Source organism: Homo sapiens, chromosome 12, assembly GCF_000001405.40.
Source record: "Homo sapiens chromosome 12, GRCh38.p14 Primary Assembly".
Lineage (NCBI taxonomy): Eukaryota > Metazoa > Chordata > Mammalia > Primates > Hominidae > Homo > Homo sapiens.
Genome location: NC_000012.12, coordinates 120,759,322 through 120,777,989, shown reverse-complemented (window position 1 = coordinate 120,777,989; position 18,668 = coordinate 120,759,322). Strand labels below are relative to the sequence as shown.

At 46.7% G+C, this 18,668-nt stretch overlaps 1 protein-coding gene across 2 annotated transcripts in view, besides 2 other annotated features; it reads left to right on the top strand.

Annotated features, from left to right (window-relative positions):
* Positions 1-15,480, top strand: part of SPPL3 (signal peptide peptidase like 3) — a 141,849-nt gene extending 126,369 nt beyond the window's left edge. For both annotated transcript variants that reach the window (NM_139015.5, XM_011537925.3), the window contains exons 7-11: positions 8,931-9,037; positions 9,502-9,665; positions 10,397-10,596; positions 11,618-11,727; positions 12,920-15,480. In NM_139015.5, the coding sequence (NP_620584.2) occupies positions 8,931-9,037; positions 9,502-9,665; positions 10,397-10,596; positions 11,618-11,727; positions 12,920-12,991 (653 nt within the window). In that variant the 3' untranslated portion in view covers positions 12,992-15,480. The remainder of the gene's footprint in view (positions 1-8,930; positions 9,038-9,501; positions 9,666-10,396; positions 10,597-11,617; positions 11,728-12,919) is intronic.
* Positions 6,188-6,688: an enhancer, noted in NCBI's record as "H3K4me1 hESC enhancer chr12:121209105-121209605 (GRCh37/hg19 assembly coordinates)". NCBI's record gives its function as "activates a minimal SCP1, AML or CMV promoter by ChIP-STARR-seq in naive H9 embryonic stem cells {active_cell/tissue: H9 hESC(naive)}" and the evidence as "EXISTENCE:reporter gene assay evidence [ECO:0000049][PMID:30033119]".
* Positions 14,729-14,892: a silencer, noted in NCBI's record as "fragment chr12:121200901-121201064 (GRCh37/hg19 assembly coordinates)". NCBI's record gives its function as "represses an EF-1alpha promoter that drives an FKBP-Casp9 reporter gene in an ReSE screen in K562 erythroleukemia cells {active_cell/tissue: K562}" and the evidence as "EXISTENCE:reporter gene assay evidence [ECO:0000049][PMID:32094911]".
* Positions 15,481-18,668: the final 3,188 nt, after the last annotated feature.

Here is an 18,668-nt window from a genome sequence, read left to right as displayed (position 1 = left end):
TTAAAACAGTTCCTTGAGTTTGCAGACCAAGTTACCCTCTAGACTATACAGACCTTTGATGACGCAGACAGGAAAGGCAAAGTCAAAATCACCCGTGCCCGTCTGTGTAGTAATTCACCTTTGCTGATTCTGACAGGTTTGGTCATTTGTTTAGCATCTTGTATTCCCTTATAAAAACATGTGCTGTGATTGTTTGCTTCAGTACTAGAGAACCCACTATGCATATAAGCAGTCTGAAGTGCAATGGCTACCAGACCTGATTTCCCAAATCAAGTATTAATTAGTGCTTTCAGTAGCTTGTGATTTGTGTTACGATACTTCAGTGCTTCCGGAAGTTGATGACATTGCATTCAAAGTAATACAGCAAGTTGCTTGCCCAGCTTATGGTAAAAGGGTGGTATGGTAAAAGGGTGGGTAAGTGCTGATTCTATAAGGACTAGTTATTATTAAGAGTGATAAAGTGACAGCTATGTGCATTAGACTTTTCCGGAGAGTAGCATTTGTTGAATTCTGCAAACAATAATTTGTTAACTTAAAGTAGGGAAGAAGTGATGCATGTATAAACAGAGCATATAGGGAATTCTGAAAAACTTTAGTAAAACCTAATCTTTTAAAAATATGTGTTATACAATATTAAGGAATCTTGATCATGATAATTATTGGGGCACAGAGAATAAATTTTAGTCCAAATCAATCTCATAGCTTCTTTTATGAGTATATCCCTTAAATCTTACCTAGTCCAGTGGCTTCCTGATGAGGAAACAGGCAGATGTTTCTCCTGCTGTTACTTCTGAACAGAAACTATTTAGAAATTCCAGTTAGTTGGTTAGAATCTAAACCAGATTTTTTCAGTGCATGTAAGTTGGCTGTTTGGATGACTGTGAACCACATATTCCTAAGAGAGACTGTTTTATGATGGTGTCTTTAAATGACAGATTGAGAGGCCACCCCCATAATGATACACTTAAATCCACCTAAACAAATGTGGAATGAGACAATGAAAGCACCAGGTGCTACTGGTTTAAAGTAATGTAAAGCAGTAATCACCTAAGCAGGATGATTAGTTTCACTGCTAGCAGATGCAAAGCCCATATTATGACAAATGATATTTTAACTACCTTGAAGTCTCAGTCCCCCATGTGGTCTGAGTTTCTCAGTAATCCCACTGCTAACTTTTTGATGGCTCTCCTTTCTTGAACCTCTTTATTCACATGTCCAGACACACATGATACTATTTACATGTTTTGCTGAGGGTTTAAAAGTGCTTAGTAAGCCGCTGACCCAAAAAAGATGAGCTGTTTCTCAAAACAATAAGCAGTGTGGTCTTTCTACCCTTAGCTCTGTCCTATCTTAGCATTGCAGAGAACAGAAAAAATGCCTGTTTACTAATAGTATGTTACCAAAAAAAAAAAGTTCAGCATGGTGGAAGGTGACATTCTTTTCACAGCCATTGGAAACATACACTTTAGAGCAAGTCGGGAGAATTTTATTCGTTGTACTTCTGCAGACAGGTCTGGAATGGGTTTATCAGACTCACTAAAGGAGGAATGGGGTGAGCACCTCTCTGTAAGACATACTAAAGGGTCTGTTTTACAATGCGAGTCCCTTCCTCTAGACTGTACAGTTGACAGAAAATTGGCCATAAAGAACAAACTTTTTTCCCCAGTGGCCGCTATCAGAAGTACATTTCCATTGGAAAATTCACTTCATAGTTGAAAAGTTTTGCTGAATGTTCAGTGAGGCTCCCCGAAACCCTAATTAGAATTTTACCACATTTTTCTGTCATTATTGCAGTTTCCCAGTATTACTTATCCACAGATCTCTTCTTCCTGCCAGTTTGCACTGGTTGAAACGCCCTTGTGACCAAGGATGGAATTTTTCCTCAAAGAGAGCCTTTGAGCTTTTCGTTTGTTTCTCAGACTAGTGTTTGACTTGTTTTCTGCTGTCACAGTAGTCTGGCTTTCTAGCCATGTTGTGTAATACACTGTAGTGTCTTGCTCTCTGCTGTGAATATTATCTTTCAGACTTCTCTGCAGAATCTGAAATCATCTTGTAAGCAGTGATATTTGGTGGCTGGGTTTTTTTTTTAATTAGTGTTTCTTAACTGAAGTCTGTTCTTTGAAGTTAATTTAGAGTGAAAACAGGATAATAAATTATTTTCAGGGCTACACTAAGAAGTATTAACATTAAGAATGGACTTCGGGATTTTCCCGAACTGAAGTCTAGGGCTGTTTTATCTACTCTCAGTTTCATCTGGCAAATTAACCTTTCAAATTTGGGAAGACTTGAAAGAGTTGGACCTATGGGTGATGGTATGTTAGCTAAAAGCTGATGAATATTGAGTACACACCCCTAGTGATCAAGGATCATAGAACCTGGTTTACAGTCTATCCCCTGCCTAGTTCAGGGACTAACAGAATCTTGACAGATGTCTGATTCAGTCCCCTCGTTTTATAGCAATTGCTACTAACCTATGATTAGAACATGTTTAGGGCCAGAAATCTAACAATTGATATTTTGTTTTAAAATGCTACACTCAACCGGGCACGGTGGCTCACACCTGTAATCCCAACTCTTTGGGAGGCGAAGGTGGGCAGATCAGTTGAGGTCAGGAGTTGGAGACCAGCCTGGCCAACATGGTGAAACCCCATCTCTACTAAAAATAAAAAAATTAACCAAGGTGTGCTGGCATGCACCTGTAGTCCCAGCTACTTGGGAGGCTGAGGCAGGAGAATCACTTGAACCTGGAAGGCAGGGGTTGCAGTGAGCTGAGATTGCACCACTGCACTCCAACCTGGGCAACAGAGTGAGACTCTGCCTCTAAATAAATAAATAAATAAAATGCTACACTCTTGGTGCGCTGACTCCACATAGGGCATAGATATCTAGAGAGCCTGTATCGCGAATGTGAGCACTGCTTAGAAACCTTACAGGTTATGTCATCCTCGTAGAGAACATTTGAGCTCGGTTTGGTGTCACTGTCTTTGTCCCTGACTCACTGGTTGTAGAAGACAATGTAATACAGAGATATCAGTGATAAATTGAAAATAACTCTAGCTAAATGGCTAAGATTAATCATTTACTTCCCCCAACACTTTTGGTTAATGTACATTTAACCAAAAGTTAAGTGTGTTGGTAAACCTATAAGAGAGAGTCTCAGGAGTGTCTAAAGCCGCAAGGGAAAGAGAGCACCTCCCTTCACTTTAGCCTTGAAAAGCCCTGAGGAGGAGGTAAGATTTTTTAAGGGTTACTTGAATGACAGAATGAAAGGCAGGCAAACTAGATTGAGAGCATGTTCTGGGAATACGACATTGCTTGTGGCAGTGTTCGCTGGGTCAGAGTGGTATTTATTCCACATGCCTCTAAGAGCCTTCTCTGAGACAGTCAAAAGGATGCCTTCTGCCTCTTCATACACGGAACTTAGACTAGAGTGGGGAGGACCTAGATGGTCTAATTGGAAAGAGGGTGTTCAGCTTAACGCAGATGGAGAGAAGGGATAGGCTGAGGAATAGGAACCCGTTCAGACAGATGCCAAGGCAGAGCCAGCATGGTGCTCAGCTCCACTCTGTGGAGGTTGTGCCTCCTGAGTTTATGCAACTTTATAATTAGACTTGATTCGTCATAGAGAAGGGAACCTGGTGACCTTCAGGCAGGAAATTATGTGAACAGATGTTTGACAGTGGCAGTGAACAGTACATGGGAAAGAGTAAGAGGGAGGGAGGGAAAGGAGACACAGCAAAGTAGGAAGTGGGTGGAGGTGTGAGCAAGGTCTGCAGTAACAGTAAAGGATAACACCTCAGAATGGCTGCAGATTTCATGTGTATGATGAGAGGCTGTGATGTGTTGAAGATGAACCCAGACTTTCTTATTTGGAAGGTTAGGATAGAATGACACTGTCTGGAGTCATGGAAAACCCAGTCACTGAGCAGTCTGTTCCATGTTTAGTTTAGACGCAGGTGGAGGAGGATTAGCATGAGATGAATGACAAAGCAGCAGGTGGATGCTCAGACCTTGTGACCTTTCAAGGCTCCTGCGCAGTTAGGATGAAGTGATTCTATGGCAAATTGAGTACAAAAGTTCAGGAAGGGCCAGACGCGGCGGCCCATGCCTGTAATCCCAGCACTTCGGGAGGCTGAGGCAGGTGGATCACCTGAAGTTAGTAGTTCAAGACCAGCCTGACCAATATGGTGAAACCCCATCTCTATTAAAAATGCAAAAATTAGTTGGGCATGGTGGCGGGCGCTGGTAGTCACTTGAGAGTCACTTGAACCTGGGAGGCACAGGTTGCCGTGAGCCAAGCTTGTGCCACTGCACTCAGCGTGGGCGACAGAGCAAGACTCCATCTCCAAAAAGAAAAGGTCAGGAAGGGACAGGTCGTCTACATGTGTCACAGAGGCGAATAAACTTACCCCGAGGAGCCTGGCCTCTTGCTTCTCTGTTCAGTCTGTTTCCCTGCCCCGCTTTTGGTTACTGGTGAGCTGCATCATTCAGTCCTCTGACCCTCACTCCCCGCAGACTCCTGTCTCCCGTCTGTCCATCCTAGGCCTTCTGTTACTTTCTTCGTGCCCTTGATGCCTTGCATTCCATGTATTCACCTGTAAGTCCATGAACAGATCACCCTAGCCAGTATCTATACACAAACCTGTGTCTCACCTGTGCTCTGGCCCGATGGGCTTCCCACCTGCTGCTGACCACTGTTGTTCCTCCAGCCAGATGAGCTGCTCCCTGGTAATGTCCTGGTTATTGACTCATGACACAACCAAATCTTTGTTTCCTAAAGATGATGATCATGGGAGGTCCTGTCCTTTCAAATATGCGTGTGAGTTGATCAGAGCAGGGGCTCTGGGTACATCTCTCAGTGTCCTAAACATCATGTTTCAGTCATCCCTTTGCAGCTCTGAATGCTCTGAGCTTTGTCAAGCCTCACTGACTAATACATTTCATTAGGTTCATTTCAAATGACATGCATTTGTATACATTTTACCAGGTTGGTTGTATGAATTTATTTAAAAATTAAAGGAGACCTTAGTATAATAAACATTCTATATGATTATAAAGTCAGGAATTAGATCTTGACCACATCTCTCCAGAACTCACACTGCAGCTCACCCTGTAACTCAGTGAGCGCTTGATAACAGTGATGATAGTGGAGATGAAGATATATATTTTGCTCTTCCTAGGTTGAATACTGTCTTTCCAACTCCTCTGAGTTGTAGGGATGAGGCAGCTTTTTCTCCTCTGTGTTTATATTAGCACCGTGCACACAGTAGGAACCCATGAAACAGTAATTTAGTTGATGTGTCCAGGGTCTGCCAAGCTGCTGTATTTATCCACTTTATTACATATATTGACAATTTACCACCAGTTCTATGAAAATGAAATATATCTGTTCATATGGCTTTTTACTTTCCTTAGAATAATTTGAAATTTGAAGTTAATAGAACACAGTTTTGCATTCATTCAGCAAGTATTTATTGAATGTCTACTCTGTCAAGTGCTAGGGATCCACAGAAAGAATCAGACATGGTTTCTGTTTCCCAGGAGCACGTGGTCAGCTAGCACAGGGAATAAACTTACCAGTATGTAAATATTCACAAGGTCATAGAATGGATGAGTGAGTTGAGAGACATTCAACGTTCTATGGCACATCACATAGAAGAAGCAACTGGGCCGGGCGCGGTGGCTCATGCCTGTAATCCCAGCACTTTGGGAGGCCGGGGTGGGTGGATCACCTGAGGTCAGGAGTTTGAGACCAGCCTGACCAACATGGTGAAACCCTGTCTCTACTAAAAATGCAAAAATTAGCTGGGTGTGGTGATGGATGCCTGTAATCCCGGCTACTCGGGAGGCTGAGACAGGAGAATCACTTGAACCCAGGAGGTGGAAGCTGCAGTAAGCTGAGATTGCACCATTGTACTGCAGCCTGGGCAACGAGCAAAACTCTGTCTCAAAAAAACAAAAAAAGAGCAGCAGCAACTGACTGGTTGGATCAGGAAAGACTCTGAGAAAGGACTCCTGACCTGGCTCTTCCAGAATGAGGATGGATTTTCCATATGAAGGAGCCGGGGGCAGGACCTTCTGGGTAGAGCGTGAAAAGAACACAGTATGTGTGGAGAGCGGGAAATTGTGTTGAACTGTCTAGAAAACAGAGCCACAGGAATGCGTGTTGAGGGCTTGGGCTGTACAGTGGAGAGTGCCCTCCCTGGCCAGGGAGTTGGACATTCATCCCACCACAAGACCCCATGAAGAGTTTCTCAACAGCTCTGTGTCCTCATCAAACCTGTGTTTGCAGAACAGTGGAGGAAGAGAGCTGAAGGAGGGGAGAGGCCCTGCACCTGCCAGGCCCTGGCCTAGACTACAAGGGTGAGCACTGAGCCATGCTCTCGGGGAACCTTCACTGGAGTTGAGGGCAGTGAGAATGTTTAAAAAAAAGAAGAAATTATGTATATCAGAAGTTGAGAAATGAAAAATAAGACAAGGGCAGGAAGTATGATCTTAAATGTAATTGCAGGAAAGTCCACCTGTCATTGAGAAGCTAGTACTTGCGTGAAGAACTGTGAAAGACGAGGAGCGGAGCCAGTTGGGTTCTGGGAGGAGATCGTTCAGGCAGAGGGCACAGTAAATGCAGAGCACTGAAGCGGCGGCGTGGCCGAAGCGGCGGCATGGGGGGTAGAGTGAGGAGGCTGCTGTGGCTGGCAAAGGAAGTAGCAGGAGGTGACCTGAAGGGTCACCGTCACAGCAGGACCTTGTCAGCCAGTATGAAGACTGTGGCTTTTACTCTATGGGAAGTTGTTTAAGAGTTTTGAGCTAGGGGCCCCATAAAACCTGCCTTAGGGTTTAAGAAGCTGCTTCTGTCTGCACTGTGAAGAAGAGACTTGTTAGGGGTTAAGTTGGAGGCAGAGAGGCCAGGGAGGAGGTCATTGCAGCAATGCACGCCAGGAGAGGATGGCGGCTTAAGCCAGGCAGGGTGTAAAAGAGAGACGGGTCAAAAACGACATCACAGATTTCCGTCTGCACAATTGGAAGCAAAGAGTAAATGCTTGGAGACAGAAGACTGCACTGTTAAGAGCTGAGTTTGGACATGTTAGATTTGAGAGGCCAACTAGACAGCCAAGTATATATGTCTCTTAGGCCACAGGATGTATGAGTCTGGAGCTCCAAGAAGAGATTCAGGCTGGAAATTAAAATGTGTGAGTTGATGACATATAAGATAGATAGTGTCAAGAGCCTTGAGATTGGACGAGATCACTGAGAGAGGAAAAGATCTGAGGAAAGGCCCGTGGAGTTCTGGGAATTGAGGAGGAGCTACAGAGAAGCCTGAAAAGGCCAGTGAGTGGGGAGGAACAGGAGAGCACATTGTCCTGAGAATCAAGGGAAAAGGAGGGAGCCATTAGCTGGGCGGGTTGCTGCCTAAAGGTCGGGTAAGAGGAGGACAGGTCGATTACTGTGTCTAGCAATGAGGGGATCCTTGGCAAGCCCCCAGGAGCAGTGTCAGTGGAGTAGCAGGGATGAAAGCCCTGCTGGAAGTGATCGAGCACTCAAATGATAACATCTAATTTATGGGAAATATATGGGATAGAGGAAAAGCCAACCACTGCAATAGAGAAGCACAGAAAAATCCAGATGACTCCAGTTTCAGCAAGTCATTAAAAAAAGGACTTTAGGCTGGGCATGGTGGCTCACACCTGTAATCCCAGCACTTTGGGAGAACAGGGTGAGAGGATTGCTTGAGATCAGCCTGGGCCACATAGCAAGACCTCATCTCTACAAAAAATACAAAAATTATCCAGGTGTGGTGGCACATGCCGGTGGTCCCAGCTACTCAGGAGGCTGAGTATTGCTTGAGCCCAGGAGGCAGAGGCTGAAGTGAGCCAAGATCGCATGACTGCACTCCAGCCTGGGCAACAGGGCAAGACCCTGTCTCAAAAAAAATAAAAGTGGTGGGGTGGACTATGTCAGATTGGAAACCAGCACAGACAAACCATCTGCAAAAGATGTTTTGGGGTCTATAGAGAAATTTGATTAAATGAGGTGAAAATTCACCCAAATGGAAACTGGGGGTTGTTGGCTTTGGTGGAGGGGGGGAACAGATTGTGTGATCTCATTAGATTAAAAAAAAAAAGTATGTAAAAAATTATTGGCTGGGTGCAGTGGCTCATGCCTGTAATCCCAACACTTTGGGAGGCCAAGGCAGGTGGATCACCTGAGGTCAAGAATTCGAGACCAGCCTGGCCAACATGGTGAAACCCCATCTCTACTAAAAACACAAAAATTAGCTGGGCGTAGTGGTGGGTGCCTGTAATCCCAGCTACTCGGGAGGTTGAGGCAGGAGAATCATTTGAACTCAGGAGACAGAGGTTGCAGTGAGTCGAGATTGTGCCACTGCACTCCAGCCTGGGTGATACAGCGAGACTCCATCTCCAAAAAGAAAAACAAAATTCTAGGAAGATATTGAACAGTGGTAATCTCTGAAAAGTGGGAATGTAATTTTTTTATTTTGCTTTACTGTATTCTCTAGTTTTCTATAACGCAGTTAATGAATTGCTGGGATGATGCCTCCAGTGAATGAAAGGGGGTGCTATCTAGGGTGTGAGTTCACTTTAAAGCAGGGAGCAAGGACAACACATCCACAACATTGGAGGGAAGGCAGGAAAAGAGAGCTTGGAGGTCTTGGACTGGTTTCCTGGGTCTCCAACAGCCGAGCACTATGTCTAGGAGGAGGAAAGCAATCACCCCAAATTCCACAAGTCCAAACAGGCTGAAGAAGCGGGTGTTTTGCACCAGTTGCATGTAAGTTTCTGAAGCTGGAGCTTAGGGCTGCCTGATTTTTGAGGGAATTGCAAACTCTGTGAAGGGCCATAGCTTGTGGAAAGAGGATGAGCCTGGAGTCCACACTGACTGCTGTCTGCTGTACCCTGTCTCCTCCCCAGCACTGGCCATGGGCCTCTGTGTCGCCATGATCGCCTTTGTCCGCCTGCCGAGCCTCAAGGTCTCCTGCCTGCTTCTCTCAGGGCTTCTCATCTATGATGTCTTTTGGGTAAGCGTTTATGTCCTTGGAGCTCCTCCCCTTCTTTGTGTTGAAGTGAAGCATTCATGCCTGAAAACTATTAACTAGAAGTATCCAAAGTCGGGCTTGCCCAGCTGCTGATCACTCTCTCTCCAGTCCTTAACTGTATCATGGGTGTGCAGTCCGATCCTTTTGTTTGCTGAAAAGTCGTACAGTAGGTAGTGTGTGTGTGTGACTCCTAGGATAGAAGAGGTAACAGGCTGACAAGATTCGCTGCAGTGGGGGCCACCCCGTCAGGGAGTAATCTCTGGGTGTGGAGAGTGCAGAAATTGGCAAGTACACAGGAAGAGCAAAGATTTTCTCAAATCATACAGTCAACGAAAGCATTGCAGTCACAGCATTCTGAGACTCTGCTCTTAAGAGCAAGGAGGGCTGATGCTGAAAGCAGGTTGCTTCCAACTCCCTCTGTTAAAGGCATCTCTCCAACTCGGCAGGTATTTTTCTCAGCCTACATCTTCAATAGCAACGTCATGGTGAAGGTGGCCACTCAGCCGGCTGACAATCCCCTTGACGTTCTATCCCGGAAGCTCCACCTGGGGCCCAATGTTGGGCGTGATGTTCCTCGCCTGTCTCTGCCTGGAAAACTGGTCTTCCCAAGGTAAGACCTCATGCTATGACAGGACCACACTGTCTTCCTGTGCCTATCTGTTCCCGGCCTTGATCAGTCTCTAATGTCATCAGCATTCTGATCCCAACCTGGGGCCATTATCTCCATGCTGCAGAAGAGGAAATGAGGATGAGATTCTTGGCTTGCCAAGAAGGATCACTGAGTGATCCAGGCGGTGCCTTTTATTATTGATTAATGTCAGCAAACAGCCATGCCTTACTGCTGTTTCCACTGTTTAGAGTTGGCTGGAGGGAGTTAGGAGAATCTCGATCCTTTTAACTTGTAAGATATTTATAAAAATAAGTTCTAATGGTAGAATTATACAACTCCTGGTAATATAATCTTGGCAGAATGAATGTGCTGCTTTAATCTTCCACCTGTAATAGTAGCCAGGTGCTTATTTGAAGTCTCAACAGTGAATGTGTCACAAATGATGAATTGTTTGACATTTCTAGAGGAAGCAGCACTTATGCAAATCACTTCAGCAGTCACTTCCAAGGGGCTCTCCTGAAACAGGGGGGCCAAGGTGGAGACCTCTAGTGCCAGTACTGTTGCAGCTTTTTCTCTCTACACTCTTAAAACTAATGTTCCATCAGAAGAGATTTCCATCTGCCATGCAGATAAGCTCTTTGACTCCTTAAAAAGCTAACAAACTTTGCACAAAAGGAATAGAAACTGGATTGTAGAGTGTGACGTCACTAACCTGTGAAACTGCATTCCAGCTCCACTGGCAGCCACTTCTCCATGTTGGGCATCGGAGACATCGTTATGCCTGGTCTCCTACTATGCTTTGTCCTTCGCTATGACAACTACAAAAAGCAAGCCAGTGGGGACTCCTGTGGGGCCCCTGGACCTGCCAACATCTCCGGGCGCATGCAGAAGGTCTCCTACTTTCACTGCACCCTCATCGGATACTTTGTAGGTAAGAGAACCAGAGAGACTGCAGATGATCCTCGCTCTGGCTGTCCTCCAACCTTTGGAATTAAATCAGGTCTTCTAGCTACAGTTACTGGATGGAAGGAGAGCAGGAATTCTGGGTGCTGTAATAGACAGCCTGGCCCGTGAGATGCTAAGTGTTTTGTGTACTGGATAGGCCAGTTCCCTCTCCAGCTGTGTATCTGAAGAACGTTGTAGGAAAAGCAGGTCAGTCCTCAAAGCCAAGGACACACAGCACACAGTGCAGTGGATTAGTCTGTGCTTAAATCTTCCTCTAGAGTTGAATGACTGTCGTATTTATTTCCTACTTTATTCAATAGATACTTACTTACATTCATTAGTTCTACATTTCTGCCACTCTGACCTAGGCCAAGTTTTGTAGCCAGCTCATGTGTAGGCAGACAGGAGATGATTGTGATGGGGCTGGGAAAAGCAGTAACCTGCCCGCACATGCAACTGCTCCCGCACAGTGACTGGAAAGGAGCTTTTGCACTCCGTACGTCCTCCTCAACCCCAGCACTGTCCTCGTCCCACAGCAGTTCATTCACATGGGTTCATTTCAGTCCACAAACTCAGAGGGGCAAGGCAAGTGGCATTATCCCCATTAGACAGATGAGCAAGCTGAGGCTCAGAGAGGTGGAAGGTCTGAACTACATTTATGTTAGCTATTGTGAGTAGCAGAGTTGGAACTTGAACCCAGGTCTTCTGCCTCCCAAGTCCAGCATCACAGGAGACAGAGGCACACTTGGAGCTGGAAGGAGGGTTTGAACCCAGGAACCTGAGCAAGGAGTGAGACTTGGGTCAGTCATGTGTCCTTGGAGTTGTAGGTGTTTTTTAAAGCTGTGCTGATCCACATTTCTTCAACTGCCCAAGCTGGGCATTTCACACCCCAACCATAGAATGGACGACAGCACATTAGATCTGTACAGTTGCAGGACTTTGCCCAGCAGCAGCCAGGTGACACGGGTTCCCTCTCGTGTCTCACAGATGCCTCTCTCTCCTCACAGGCCTGCTCACTGCTACTGTGGCGTCTCGCATTCACCGGGCCGCCCAGCCCGCCCTTCTCTATTTGGTGCCATTTACTTTATTGCCACTCCTCACGATGGCCTATTTAAAGGTGAGAGCAGCAGTTATAAACCTGTGAAAGCAATAACTTGGATTGGCCTGTGCCTCGGTTTGCACTCTCCTCGCTGGAGGTGATTCTGCTTAAGCCCCTGAGTGAGCTTGTGATCTCGACTGTGTGTGTGTGTGTGTGTGTGTGTGTGTGTGTGTGTGTGTGCGCGCGCGCGCTACCCTGGCGTTAGCAAACGCTTCCAGATTCGTGCAGCCACTGACAGAAAATGCTGATGAGCTAGACCACTACACCACCTGGTCGAGGAATAACTAATTGAAAGCCCCAGAGCCCAGCTGAGGGTACTTCCTGCTTCTGTTCAAAGCAGTGCCCTCCTGCCACCTAACAGCTTAACACTACGTTAAAGTTTGGGAATAATTAAGATTGAATAGTGTTGAGGCAGCATATGATAAAACCAGAGTTCAAGAGCACATTATTTCCCAGATATCTATTCTCAGCCCCGTTTTACAGATGAGGAAGCAGATACAGAGGTCAACTTACTTGCCCAGCTCACTTGACTCACTACCTCTAGAGAGTTGATAAAAGCCCTTTTCTTGCTCAGGGAGCCTAAAAGCACCCCTTCTAGGGAGTCCTCCTAAAAATAGTGGGTTATTTTTGAATGGGTAAGATTTAAATGCTCTTTGGTTTCCCACAGAAGCAATCTGATCTCAGATCAAGCATCAGAAAGGGGCCAGGGGCATGGTGGCTCACGCCTGTAACCCCCGCACCTTGGGAGGCTGAGGCAGGCGGGTTAAGAGTTCAGGACCAGCCTGGCCAATATGGTGAAACCCTGTCTCTACTAAAAACACAAAAATGAACTGGGCATGGTGGTGAGTGCCTGTAATCCCAGCTACTCAGGAAGCTGAGGCAAGAGAATCGCTTGAACCCAGGAGTCGGAGGTTGCAGTGAGCTGAGATCTCGCCACTGCACTCACTCCAGCCTAGGTGACAGAGTGAGAACCCATCTCAAAAAAAAAAAATATCAGAAAGGGGCCAAGCGCAGCAGCTCATGCCTGTAATCCTAGCACTTTGGAAGGTCGAGGCAGGAGAATTGCCCGAGCCCAGGAGTTTGAGACCAGCCTGGCCAATATATAGGAAGACTTCATACCTGGAAAAAAAATTTTTTTTTTTTAAAGAATCAGACAGCTGTGTGTGCCTCATGTTTAAATCTGTAACTTAGAAAGTCCCTTGTTTCCCAGGGCGACCTCCGGCGGATGTGGTCTGAGCCTTTCCACTCCAAGTCCAGCAGCTCCCGATTCCTGGAAGTATGATGGATCACGTGGAAAGTGACCAGATGGCCGTCATAGTCCTTTTCTCTCAACTCATGGTTTGTTTCCTCTTAGAGCTGGCCTGGTACTCAGAAATGTACCTGTGTTTAAGGAACTGCCGTGTGACTGGATTTGGCATTTAAAGGGAGCTCGTTTGCAGGAGAGAGGTGCTGGAGCCCTGTTTGGTTCCTTCTCTTCCTGCGGATGTAGAGGTGGGGCCCCTTCCAAGAGGGACAGGCCTCTCCCCAGCGCGCCTTCCTCCCACGTTTTTATGGATCTGCACCAGACTGTTACCTTCTGGGGGAGATGGAGATTTGACTGTTTAAAAACTGAAAACAGCGAGGAGTCTTTCTAGAACTTTTGAACACTAAAAGGATGAAAAAAATTAGCAAACCGAAGTTTCTTCAATGACCCCTCGAGAACTTTGGGACCAGTTTCCTATAGGGGACTCAGTTTCAGAGAACTGAGACAGAAGCTCTTCTGTCGTTATATTCTTCTTTCCTTTTTTTGGATTTATTAAATATTTTCTGTGGTGTGAAGTGACTTATTAAATCCACAGACATTGAGTGACTTCTTACAACATCCACATAAGAATTTGTTGTAATGAGTTCATGTCCACCCAGATGTTGTGTTGGCAGTGAACAAGGGCACGGTTTTTATACATACGTACATATATATATATAAACACACACATAGATATATATGAATAAACAAAAATGAAATCCTGCTAAGATCACGCTGTGTAGCTGACAGGGGCTTGCTGTCGTTTTGAGCATGTCGAGCAGTTTACTGTGGCTTCCTTGTATATGGATAAGCTGCTGTCCTTCCCCTTCACAACTGACCCCGCAGTTACAAACTAGTATAGCATTTGTGCTGATTGATGATAGACTCATGGACTTCAGGAGCCCTTACTTGGTTTTGATCAGTGTAGCAAATTAGGGATGAAGAGTTCAAACCTTTTGGCCCTTTCTTTCTTTTCTAGGCTTCTCCCTCGCAGGGTGTTCCGTAGTTTCTTCTCGAGCCAATGCATGTATTATAGCAGCAGGTGTCTTTGTGCTTTCTCATCATAGTAACGTACTACTTGTAAATACATTTTTCTATTTTCTATTTTTTTGTATTTTTTTTTTTGACATTTTGTTTCATTGGTGTGCTGTATATTTTCCATGCCCTCACTCCTTTAAGAAAAAAAAAAAGGAAAAAAGCAACACAATCCTGTCCTTGCTGTTGTGATTATAGTCTTGGTTTACCTGTGGTGACAACCGGGTGTTGGGGACACATGTCAAATGCCCCTCTGAGATGGGCCCTAAATTCCAGTAACTGGGGAAAGAACCAGCTGCTGTGTCCTGAGAGCCTGGCCCTGTGCTGTGGTCTCTGCTGCAAGCCCAGATTTCTGGGAGTAACTAGTGTTAGGTCTGCTGACCTTTACCTAAGCAGCCCCTGCCTGGTAAGAAGGTGCCCATTGTTCAGAGGCAAAGAGAAGCCTGCGGTTGGCATGAGGATGCCTGACAACAAAGGCTGGAGAAGGGCCCTGAGTTCCAGCCTCTCCCCAAGGGTCCCCGCCCCAGTGGCTGCCTCTGTCTTGACCTGTGTAATGAATTAGTGTGCTGTGTCACTGTGGCTTGAAGTCACTGTGGATCGAGCTCACAGGGGGCACCCATCCTGTTGTCAACAGAGTCTGAAGCAGTCAGGGTGTTGGATTCCTCTGTTGTTGTCATCAATTCCTGCTGAGGGGTTTCTGGGGTTTTGTTTTTAATAAATGACTCCTTTGTAGCCTTTGTCACATAATCTTCACTTTGGTTGTTGGTACCAAACAGAGCTCCCAGCCATCTCCTCCCTGTTCTGGAAGACTGATGGGAAGACTCTGTCTGTCCCCAGACCTGGTCATCTGCAGCTCTGGCCCAGTCATAGATACATCAAAGAACTGAAGCTTCTGCTGTCCACAGAACTCAAAACTGCCTCTGCATTGGGTGAAGACTAAAAATCCACTTGCGGACTCTCCCTTCCTTCCTTCTCAGCCCTCGAGGATGCATATAGCTAATTAAGCAGGCCCAGAGACAGAGAGGGGGGCTCCAAAATGACTCGGATTAAGGGCAAGTGCCAGTGATGGGTAGAAATAACGTTATCCTTCATGCCTGTAATCCCAGCACTTTGGGAGGCCGAGGCAGGTGGATCACAAGGTTGGGAGCTCGAGACCAGCCTGGCCAACATGGTGAAACCCCGTCTCTACTAAAAACACAAAAATTAGCTGGGCATGGTGGCAGGCGCCTGTAATCCCAGCTATTTGGGAGGCTGAGGCAGAAGAATCGCTTGAACCTGGAAGGCGGAGGTTGCAGTGAGCAGAGATTGCGCCACTGCACTCAAGTCTGGGCGACAGGGTGAGACTCCATCTCAAAAAAAAAAAAAAAAAGGAAATGTTATCCTGGCAGTGGGTCATTTTAATTTTTCTGTCTTTGTTTTCATAAGAAAATTAAATTCCAGACAGAAGGAACGTCGTTATTTTGTCATTCTCACTTCTGTGCAGGTTTTGGGGGGAAATACCCACACAGGGCTGTGAATGCACCCTGGATTCCAGTTGCTAATCTTCAAAGCCCTTAAAACACTCCCTTAAAACTTTGGCAGAGAAACAGCAAATACTCTACTCGTCTCGGAGGGTTGAGTGGGTGGCTGCAGTTAAAGCACACATTAGACTTCCCTTCCAGTGCTCGTTTGCTCCCCGCTGCCTGATACACTTAGGTCCGCCTCTTATTCTGTTTTCTCAAATACCATGGTTTAGGGGTTTTCTAGGAAGTCTGCTGCATTAGGCATGGCATGCTCATGAAATTTCAGCAGATTCCTTCCTCACTGATCTGAAGTCCTTTTTCCTCACAAAGAGACTGTGTGTTACTAGAACTCCCGCTTTTTAATAACTCTTTTTTCTAGTTTGAGCTAATGAAGATATGACAGTAAAGTCTGTCCAAAGCCTAGTGTGTTCCATTGCTGTTATTACAGTGCATACGCTTTCTGAATGTGACAGTGACAGCTCCCCGCATAGGAACGGTTCGGTGGCTTGGGACTAAGCTACTGTCTGAATTACTTTTGTAGCAGGCTCACAGGCCTTGGGTAAACAGGTAAGTTAGGTCACCCACAAGAAAAACAAAAGTACTCGTTCTCTGTGAGGGTGGAGGGGAAGGGAGTTCCATTTTGCCAATCAAGTGTTAAAAATAGAACCTGCTGTGTCTGCTTAGCAGCTCTCACGTTACTGCTCACCAGATCCCATGTTGTGTGTACGTTTCTGTTTTGTAAAGCCTAGCGTTTACGTCAGAGCCTGGGAATGCAGCACTCGTGTCTATACATGGGAGTACATGCCTTAGGGACATCATTTATACAACCCCCTTCTCTACAGAGCTATGTCAGCGGTACAGGCTCAGAAGGAAGCCATCTCGGTCTCTTTCTGGTCTTCAGTGCACAGTGGCCAGGACAGCCTCCCCCACTTCACCGAATCACATTTCTTCAGCAGTTTCCAACAGTGAAATCATTTCTAGGACAATGGCTGCTAACACGTGTCAGCTGAAGCACTGCAGATCGAGTCATCCAACTCAAGCTTCTTCCTCTTATTGGAAGGGATAAACCAGGTAAGACTTTTTAATCCAGAAATTATTCCTATTCCCTGCAATGTATAGGGTGCTTTCTATCTGCAAAACTCTAAACTCAAATTTCTGCAGGTTCAGATTCCAACTGTCTCATGCGCAGAGACTCTCCCATCACAAAATTCTTCCCGCTCCAGCCATCATCTGTTTCCTCCTCAGCCTTTCCCTTGAAATCCAGAGCCCTTTCCTGTCCGTTAGAGGCAATCAGTCATGTTTCAGTGAAGCTTGAGGCACTGGGCCCCCCAGTGAACAAAACCAGACATCCTGACCCCCTACTCCTGCGGTCTGTGCAGGGCTTGCTTTAGCATGCTTGGCTTGTGGGGAGGGGGTGTGGCAGCCATTCCCACACAAGGTCACGCAGGGATGCCACAGTGCGTTCAAGAGTAGAATCCACAGCCTTCTCTCCGTAACTCTGGGCCTTGCTGTAAATAGCAGAGGCTTGGGCTGGGGATCCTGTATCACTGGACGGGATGTGCCAATGAAGAGAAGGCTGAGAAGCAAGTTGGTGTAGGAGAAGCCCAGTGCTCCTGGTGGACACAGGCCTGCATTCAACCAAATGTCTGAAGACAAGCGAAAGCCTACAGCCCCAAGCGCAATGATCTTTCGTCACTACAGGTTTCAGAAGTCTTACCGCACGGAGCCAGTGGTTAGCAGGTGCTTGATACAAACATCCTGCAGGGAGGCTGTGAAGATTCTAACTGCAGCACTTACGGAGGAGCACTTTAGCGTGCGGTAGATTTCCTAGATAACCTGAGGTCTTAAGAATTCATGCGGCAGACTCCGCTTCGCTTCTGGTTCCTTTCATTTGGAGTCTGCCTAACCAGTTTTTCTCTTAAGTTCCAAGACATCTTCTTCCTGTTGAGTAGAACCTGTAAAACACGCCACCTGTCTGCAGGCGAACAGAGGCTCTGAAGGTTCCAAAATAGCTAAGCCCACGAGCTGTCTCCAGCCCCCATGGAGTCCTGGGATTCTCACCAGATCCAAAGATGACAGGAATGGGAACCAGTTAGGCAGAGGAAGCAAGACTTGAGAGACTGGGAGTGGGGAAGCCGCCAGGCAGTGGGCAGCAGGCCTGCGCTTGTGAGGAATGGGAGACAGGAAGTGGGTGTCCACAGGACAGAGACGGAGGGGGACAGCACGATGGTCACTGCATTCAACCAAATGTCTGAAGACAAGCGATCCAGCCCCGGGATCCCGACACCAGTTGCTCTGTCTCACCAGAGAGCCTCTCTCCAGGCGGACCACCTGTCAGCCTGCTACTGCCACCTTTCACTCTGCCCACCTGGAGCTGCTGGAGTGTAGCCACCACGTGAGCTTCTAGCTTTTGTGTTTGAGCCTTTGCCATTAGAGATTGAATTTCCTCACACCTGCGGTTGCTGTCGTGCCTTGATGGGGTTTTTATCCCCAGGCAGATAGTAACATATCCTGTGACAGCTCCCTGGGGAAGGCGGAAACCAATTTCAGAGAAAGAGGCTGAGCGCTTGCTAGTGCAGGGAGGAACTAAGATGACGAAGCATCGCACGGATGAGTCGTGGCCTTGCCGGCTTGACGGCGGGTAGAATGCAGTGCCACCCTCCCCAAGACCACCATCTGGCCAGGAGCCCCGGCCCCACCTTTCCTCCTTCGCTTGTGCCTCCTGGCACTTCCCGCAGCCCTCCCCTGTTGAGTGTAGGCGTTCTGCCCGGGGCAGTCGCTGTGAGAGAGGCCATGGCCTGGACTAGGGTGATGCGAAGAACAGAACTTGCTACCAGATTGGATGCAGGGTTGGGGACTCCACAGTGACTCCACACTTCTTAACCTGAACAATGAATTGCCAAAATAGATAACAGAAGAAATTGGGGAAGAAGAGTTGTTCTAGCCAATAGAGCAGCTAAAGCCAAAAAAAAAAAAAGTCTTCAGTGATGTAAAGCCTTGCAGAGTATGCGAGATGACCTGGACAGTGAGAGGCAGGAGGAAGACTGCTCTGTGGTGCTCTGAGTGTGAAGGCATTTGTCATGCGCATCCCCCACACAGCCACCATGGGGCTCTGGTTAGGGATGGAGCCCCCTGAGTCC